This window comes from Homo sapiens, chromosome 6, assembly GCF_000001405.40.
Source record: "Homo sapiens chromosome 6, GRCh38.p14 Primary Assembly".
Classification (NCBI taxonomy): Eukaryota; Metazoa; Chordata; class Mammalia; order Primates; family Hominidae; genus Homo; species Homo sapiens.
This window is the reverse complement of record NC_000006.12, coordinates 45,543,096-45,552,029: the sequence shown is the minus strand read 5'-3', so window position 1 is coordinate 45,552,029 and position 8,934 is coordinate 45,543,096. Positions and strand designations below refer to the sequence as shown.

Sequence of the window (8,934 nt, the reverse complement as noted above, 5' to 3'; positions counted from 1 at the left end):
TGTTTGATTTTTTTTTAAATAAATAAATCTACATCCTCAGAGTTGCAGACAAGTTCCCTGGCTTAAGCTCACCCAAGTGCTTTCAGGACATTTCCTATTCTTGGAATTTAACTATTTCCAAGATTTCTTAGAAAATAGTGCCAAAGGGTTAAGAATGAGCAGATCTTCAAGGTCTCTAACTCTCCCTGTGATGTGGGTCAGCTTGGCCACTGGCTGACCTTCTCTGCACCATGTTTTCCTGGGTCCCTATTTTAGAATTGTGGTGAGCCCAAGCATTCAGAAAGCATAGGACACAGAGAAAGCAACCTTTCTACCCCAGGTCTTCAACCTTATCACAAGGGGGGGGACTTACCAAAAATAAACAATGGCCACGGGAAAAAAAAATCTCCAAACTATAGTTATGTTCACTAGGAGAATTCTTCTGAGGCTATAGCCCTCCAGGCCAAGGTCCGTTTTTACTCATCCTTGGGCTTTGGTTGACTTTATTTTTAAGAACCCAAAAGAGATGTGGAAAGGAAAACAGACTAGCCTATATCTGGGCTGCCTGAGATCTTCTGTTGATAGCCAGAGGTTCACTTGCGGGGCCCTGTTCATGTTCTCAGAGATTAGAATCATGAAGCCATCGAGACTGCATCTATACGCCTGATAGGTCCCCCAGTTGGAATAAATGGCCTTACTCAAGGATGAGGTGAGCACTCCTTCCTTCAGACACAAGCTAGTAAGGAAGTGAGTTCACTGCTAGATTCTTTGCCCACCCCTCGCTAGGAACAGGACAAAACAAGAAGACACCGTTTACCAAGATTTTTTTTCTTCTCCCCAGTAATATAGCATCTCTTCTCTTAACTAGCCCTGGCAAGTCCTAAGACCAAACAGTGCCCAGGTGTAAGCAGGAGTAGACATCAGACTAGGGAGAAACCGTGAACAAGAAAAGACCCAAGGTACACACATAACAAAACCAAAAAAGCCATTTTATTGAAAATTAAATTCAAACTTCAAATTAATATTACAATCATGAGAAAAATGCCAAATAATTCAATTTACAGTTGCAACATACAATACAAATAGTCCCTTTGAAGTTAAGAGTAAACTCATCCACAATCATGACCTGTGGCACAAAGCGGAATTTTTACAATATGTGCATGGAAAGCAATTCTTGGGCAATAGCAATTGGAAAAAATAAAAATGAAAGCTTGTATTTACACAAAATGCTACAAATATTTTTGTTCCACAGAAACCTAAGAATGGTAAAGCATATCCAAAAGAAATGGAATTTTATTCAGAATACCTAAGAAATTATTGTAAGTTATGGTTTTGGCTGATATATTTCAAAGTACTGCATTAAAAAGCAAACAGTTATTTGTAAACATGAAGTAAACACACATCTAAAAAATTCTCACATAGAAAATATTTTTAAATGCATTCGTTTTCTAAAAACAACAAATTCAAGGTTTGGAAGAAGTGTCTTTTATTATTGTTCTTTCAAATACCATAGGTATAATTATTACTTTTGCTAATGCTTCGTGTTTCCATGTATTAACCTGGATTCTGGGCCAGTCCCTTTCCTCGGAATTGAGGGAATCCTTAAAGCTGTACACACATCTCCTCCCTTCTGAATTTATCACAGATGGTCCCTAATGGTGTGGACTTCTCTGCTCATTTTGAAAGGGCTCTGGCAAGTGAGAGGCAGTGAGACCGTCTAAAGAGCAAACGATAGTTAATCTGTTGAGTTTCTCAGTTCTGGGCTGAATGTTATTCCACTAATCTAAAACCAAAGCTGTGGTACCTGTTCTGGAACTCTGATATGGGTTAAAATTTGTGAGACAACTGAAATGGATAAAAATGTGGCTGCATTGAAAAGACTGCAAATTCCAGCAATGTTTGTGCTACAAAGAGAACCACGCTATTTTAATTCCCAGGAACTAGTACATGGTTCCACAGTAGTAGTAAGACTTTGCTTTGGTCTTGAAATCACAAATCAAACACATGACCCAGTGCAAATTAAGGGTTCAGTGAAAAAAAAAAAAAAAGAAAGAAAGAAAAACAAAATTTTAATCCCTAGACCAAAAAAGGGCAGAATTTGTTCTAAGAAATGTGAATTACCCCCATTGGGGTGGTTGGAGTGAGGGTGGAGGGAAGAAGTGCTTGAATTTTTCCCAAGGAAAAAAAGCTTCTAAAGTGTTTCTGGGTTGCTGCCTGCAGCCACTATAGTAACATTTCAACACAAAAGCATCCCTAAAGTCACTCGGTATGTGTACTGTAAACTTAAAAAAGCCCTTTTAACATTAAAAAATAATGTACAAATATAGTACCTTTTTAATTAAATAGGATGCAGCTGGCACTGGCGGTAGCATTTTTATGTCAATTAATTAAAATTGAAATGTGTAACCAGACACTGGCTTTTTTAAGTGCTGCTGAAACAAACACACATATTTTACACTTACAAATAAATGGACAGTGGTGTGCTTCAAGCTACCACACACAAACAATAAATAGTATCAATTACTACTTCCTTCTTACTTAAGTAATAGAAAAGTGGCTTATTTATCTAAGCATACTTGGTATACGGCCTTTAGAAGGCAAAGTGTTTTGCTTTCCCATCCATTTTTATTAGAAGGAGTCAGGATGAATTCCAAGGGAGACTCCCAGGCAGGAAGCACAGGTCCAGCTGCCCCACACGCTGTCCTGCAATGCTGGGTGGCCTACAAAGGTGGGTTTGAGAAGGACCAGAGAACAAGGGGGCCGTTAGGGTTTGAAGGCAAATCTCTGCTAAATTCTGCTTGGGTGGGTGGAGGATTCCAATGAAGGGACCCTGACTTTTCGGGGAGGAGAGCAGGGATTGGCCTGGTGGTGTCATTAGATGATCCTTGTTTGGATTAAGGATTTGCACTTGGAAATCTGCCATGTGACTGCCAGGAGTGGTCAAAGTGCATGCCACAGAAGGACTCTAGCTCAAATTCATACACACTAGTAGACACCAAACTCCACAGCCCCTTGCCCTCCTTGGCCCTCCATTGTAAGAAATACAAATGTCAAAGGCTGTCTGTAGGTCCCCGTGGGCCATATGTCCTCTCAGCTCAGCTACCTGCTGGAACCTGCTGCCTTTTCAGAGGACCTACTCCCAAAGGACAGTGATGTCATTCTGCTCCTCTAAATGCAAATTCTGTGGAAAGCTGCCAGTGGGGCCTTGGGTAAGGCAGATTGGGGTTCCCCTGTTGTGTTGTTTGGTAAGGCTGGTTGGTTAAGAATCTCTGGTGCAATTTTGCTCTCCTGTACTAGGTGTCTCATAATTGAACCCTCTATCCACATGTGCGGCTTTTAGCTGACTATGTCTTTGCTATGAAGCCTGGCGATTTAGAGTTTTGCTTAACTATGAAACCACAGAACATTTTTCTGTAGTTCAATGATTTACTTGTGCTTGTCTTTTTAATATGACAAGAGTCATAATTACCCCAAAGAAATTAGAAAACCACATCACTCCAGCATTTCATGCTGATAAAGGGCTAAAGGTTGTTTTTTAAATCCCTAATTACCGCTTTAGAAGGCAAAGCTGTGTTAGAGGCATTCAAAGATCTGAAAGAACTAAACATAACATTTCCTTCATACATCACAAAAACAATCTATATCTAAAATATTTGGAGATGGAAGTATTTTTTAAAATCACATTGTGCCTGGATGAACTGAAATTGCTTAGCAATATTTCAGATATGGCTCTAGACCACTGAAGAAATTTGTTATTTAATAAAGAGCACTTTTAGAGACCGAAGTCAACATATCAATACACTAAGAAATGTTTCAAGGGTCCAAATGTCATTAAATAATTATAAATATATCTTTAAAGTTATATGACCATTCACGTTAGCAAGTTACCTCAGATTTTACACATATTCATAATTTAAAAAAAAAGAAAACAACACATAGCCAAACGCAATCACTATCTATACCATTATGGCTATAATAATGTATTGCCATTTTCAGTTTTGCATAAAAGGAGAAGGCAGGTTTTAGGGATGGGATTTCTTTTTGGTTCAGTGGGAAAAGGGGAGAAGGAGTGTTAAAAAGTAAAATAAAATAATCTATCCTGATCAGTTATTTTTGAAGTCACTTTCTTGGAGCAGGAAAAAAAAAAAAAAAAACGAACCCAACAGTTCAGATGAGGACCTGCAGCATGTCTGAAAGCAGAAATTGGAAGAGTTATTCTGAATGATGGTACTGTGATGGAAGCATCCATTCTACCTCATGTCCCTTTAGTGCACCTCAACTGGTTTTGTGAGCTGTCTGCGGAGGGCACTGGTCCATACACAGCTGCCACCGTGAGGGTGTGAAGTTTCAAAGCACAGAGAGGAAGCGGCTTTGCTCTTCTCCCTCCTGAACCTGGAGTCCACCTCTCTGAATTGGCATATGAACAGGTTATTGATGATAACAGACCAAACAACAAAAACAAAAATACCTTTTCCCTTCTTTGTTCCTTTGTAAAAGTACATCTTAAATAGTAAACAATCTGAAGCTCGATTGCAATTGTCTCTCTTGAGCCTTCTGCTTCTCAATATCTACCCTCTTATGGCTGCAAGATCATGACTGAGTGAGTGAATGAAAAATCTTCTAAAAAATAGGCACTTTGTAGATAGCTAATCGATATACATATATATGCACTCTCTCTATATATGTATATATTGATACGTGTGGGATGTGGCCCCCAGATACCACTGGGCCACTGCTGAGGAATTTCAATATGGTCGCCAAACAGATTCATCCATTCTGCCACTAGAATTCAAAACAGTTGGGGAACTGCTGTGGCTTCCATCAGCGTCAACACCATCATTCTGGTTAGGCAAATTTGGATTTAATAGCGTGCTGCCATTCGAGGTGGTGGTGCATGGCGGAAGCATTCTGGAAGGAGACCGGTCTCCCCCCGGCACCATGGGAAACTGATAGGATCCTGACGAAGTGCCATAGTAGAGATATGGAGTGCTGCTGGTCTGGAAGGGTCCACTCTGGCTTTGGGAAGAGCCGGGGTAGGGTGGTGGCAGGTAGGTGTGGTAGTGAGTGGTGGCGGACATACCGAGGGACATGCCTGAGGTGACTGGCGGGGTGTAAGTAAAGGTGGCTGGATAGTGCATTCGTGGGTTGGAGAAGCGGCTCTCAGTGAGGGATGAAATGCTTGGGAACTGCCTGGGGTCTGAAAAAGGGCCCAGTTCTGAAGCACCTAAAAATTATAACAGAAGATGGAGGGAAAAATCTGTAAATATCAATTAAAATAATGATAGAATTGTTACAAGAAAAAAAAAGAGAAAACTTTAGCTTTCCCATAAAGGAACAGCAAGCCACAGACAGACCTTCAAATGCACCAGTCACTTTACAGTCTTTTTCCCCCACTTTGCAGTCTTAACAGCATTGATCCTTAAGTTCTTCACCCCCAGAGAATCCCAGAGGGCTTTAAAAACCCACATGTGTGCCAGGTCAATGTGTAAACCAACCCAACACTCTGATCACATAGGTTCACTCACCAGACTTTAAAACCAAATCCTCATGGATTTTTTTTCTCTTTTTGCTTCTCGTTGCACTTTAGATATTTGAAGTGAAATTTTTACTAAGTCAGACAAGTTTATTTTCCTCAACTCAATATAAAGAAATTCCAAAATAATGTCTTACTGTTATTTACTCTTGGTAGGCTCTTTCATCAATGAAGGAACATCAAAAAGATATCCTATCATGTTCCTATCATTTCCTTTAAGGCCTTTAAAGAATTTAAAATCTTGTCAGAGGTCTCATCTTAGCAACAGTGAAATCAAACCAGAAACTCATAACTTCTCTGGGGGTGGATAGGGAGGGTCATAAGCTACTAGATCAGTCGGTTTTGAAAATGGGAGTTAGGAGGCACAAGGGGGCTTGGTACCTTAGGAATCATTGATTTCAAGTCTTGATGGGAGACTTGTGACCTGATTTAGACCAGGTGCTAACAGTAGCTTTTGCGAGAGGCTCGCTGCCTAGGGGAGATTAAGAGGAGGGCACTCCCCACCCGTCTCCCAGGCCCCAGCACCACATCCTACAGAACCAGCTTCAGGTCAACTTGAAGCAGTAACCTGAAGGCAAAGATGGTTTTCCCCTAAAACATGAAGTCCTTTCACTTCTAAAGCTAACAGTAGGCCTCCTTAATAGATGTTTCTGGTGCCTAAGTTATGAAACCACCGTTATAAACCATTTCATGTGGAAATTTGTTTTCTGAAATGCTAGAATCTTGTAGTTGTGACCTTTAAAGATTGGGTTTATTATTATTTTTCTAGAATTGACAGAATTGTGACAAGCCCTTTTCTAATACCAGTGCTCTTGTTAAGATATTGTTCCCTTCTAAAATATTTTGATTATTCAGATCTCATATATTTGTTTCTCCTACAGCTTTTAGCTATAAAGGAAAGCACTAAACAATTCTTGAGGACTTTAATGAATGGGTACTTCTTCACCTCATTTTTATTCAGACCTTGTTCTTGGATATTACGATGTTTATTAAGGGAATAATCCGAACACTTTTCTTTAAAGGTGCTGATTGAAGGTTATTAATTTTTGTTAAAATGCACACTGCTTATAATCTTCACAAAATGCAAGGGTTAAGTGCCATGATGTGCATTTGTAATAAAAAGTGACTCTTTAAAAGCAACATATAGTTAACAAAACTCACAAATCGGACAGTAACAACCAGACAGCCCAGCCCAGCCCAGCCCTGCCCAGCCCAGCAATTGTTAAAAGTCTCACCTGCCTGGCTCTTCTTACTGAGAGTGGAAGGCCAGAGGCAGAAGTCAGAGGTGGCAGTGTCATCATCTGTAAAATGAGGGGGATGAGCTCTAAGTTCCCTTCCAGCTCTAATGTTCTATGACTATGAATTCCAAGAGAGAAGGAGAAGCAACAGCCTTAGGGGAGGGGTAGACAGAGAGGTTCCCATCCCTCATTAGTATTTCCCAGAGTCTGCAGGCCCATAAGCAGAGGGTAAAAGCTAGTGAGCAGCTTCTAAGGCCAGAAGCAAACACTTTCAAGATGAAGAACCAAAACTGACAGCCCAGGCAGTCACTCTCTGCTTTTTATAAATTCTTCCATCCTCAACTAGCCTCTACCTATTCCTCCCAAAAACGAAATTCTGACAAGCTTAAATTTAAAAATGTGGAAACAGCGATTATGACAGAATCAGAAATGGGAGCAGATGCTCCATAACATTTCCCCCGCCCAGTGCTTGTGCCCTGCCTCGTACAATACAGAGGCCAAATGGAGGCCACAGACGTTCCTCAGGCAGCCTCTGCATTGCAGGGCATCCAGGTGACCTTGAGCTGGCAGAACTAACAGCGATGGGCAGGGCACTTCTGTATGCATTAAGTTCAATATTTAGATCATATAAGAAGAACCAGAATAATGTGAACAGCGTGTATCAGAAAGAAGTCGCACTTAAAACGCCAACGTGTGCCCCCTGCAGAAGTATGGAGTTCACACAGATAGACATGTTAATGTAAAAACTGCTTCTTAGGTGTATCTGTACTTAAAATACACTGCAGTAATAATTACAATTCCGTATGGTTTCACTTATTTTGATGCAGAAGCCTCATTAAAACTCTTTATGTGGGGCCCTGGCAGTAAACTCCAATATGGTTTTGAATTTACCCCTCCCCACTCCTTCCTCTCAATTTTACCTGATACATTTTGCTGATGTTTTTATTGCCCATCACATGCCAGGATCACTGTACCTTTTTGGTTTATAGATGCTAGCTAACACAAAATGACATTTGTTTTTCAATTAATGAGCTCTGGTTATGGTTTATAGAAAACAATGCAACAAATTTCCGCTAGGTTTACAGTATTTTAACCAATCACTTCTAGGCATTTGAGTCTTAATGTCTTGAGAATGGACTCTTTCTTGATAAAGAGCGCTAATGTTGACTTGAAAGGGATTATAGGATGATTTTTCAACTTACAAACAATAGAATTTTCTGGAATTTGCTTAGTCACTTTATGTTACCAAGAAATGTTCCTGAAACATTTTGCAACATGTTCTCTAGGAAGAAATAGTAACAATTTGCTCTAGTACCATACGAGATCCCTTATAAAATAATCATGATAAGGTGGTGGGAGAAATCCTAAACTTAAAAGAAAGACTATAAACTCCTTCCTAATCTTCAAATTTTTAAATAATAATAGTTACAGAAGCAAATAATATCCTTAAATTTTCTTTCATTGAATAAGGTTGTGTCTGTGCTTCCAATGTCTGTTTTGTACATGAACTCAGGTTTTCTTTTAGAACCCCTGCTTGGGCTATTTTGACATTGTATCCTAAACTAGTCATCCTTGTGTCACCAACCACATTGTAGCCACAAACTTACCAACATAGAACTAACTGGATGTTACATCAACTAAAGTAAGCAAAATATAAGTTTGACTTATTAAGAGTCCATATTATGAAGGCCTAGAGTTCTAAAAGCAGTGCAACCCCAATCTGATTTTCTAAATATAAAACCAAAGCTCAGCCACTCCCCCAGTGATATGCCTGGTACGCTCAGAGCTCCCAAGAGCCAGTTTAAAACTCATGACTACAACTTACTGGATAGATAAAGCCAAAGGTGGTTTGGGGACCTTTTTAAAATAGCAAGGAACAACTTGCACAAGTCCATTCTTTTTGCTGTTATCCATGTTATCTCCTCCATATACAAAGTACATTCGGCTATTAGGCTTTGCTGAACAGTGGAGAAGTTGAGAGTGCTATAGCCAACACTAGATCACTTGGTGCGAAGAGTTTCAAAATGGTATGTGCCTACATCTTCCTGGGGGACTGCCAGGAGTTACTAGAAGCCCAAGATAATCATCGTGCATTTTCCTGATGGGTTGGTTTTACTCAACTTGGGGAAAATAATACACTATACAATAAACATGAATATGATGTGGAGGAGAGTGCAACATTTA

At 39.9% G+C, this 8,934-nt stretch overlaps 1 protein-coding gene across 4 annotated transcripts in view; it reads right to left on the bottom strand.

The window, feature by feature from the left end:
• The window catches only part of RUNX2 (RUNX family transcription factor 2), a 222,753-nt gene continuing 214,766 nt past the window's right edge, over positions 948-8,934 (bottom strand). For 2 of the 4 annotated variants that reach the window (NM_001024630.4, NM_001369405.1), the window contains 2 exons: positions 6,748-6,813; positions 948-5,203 (listed from right to left, as the gene is read on the bottom strand). In NM_001024630.4, the coding sequence (NP_001019801.3) occupies positions 4,725-5,203; positions 6,748-6,813 (545 nt within the window). In that variant the 3' untranslated portion in view covers positions 948-4,724. The remainder of the gene's footprint in view (positions 5,204-6,747; positions 6,814-8,934) is intronic. The other 2 variants (NM_001015051.4, NM_001278478.2) reach the window with 1 other exon arrangement.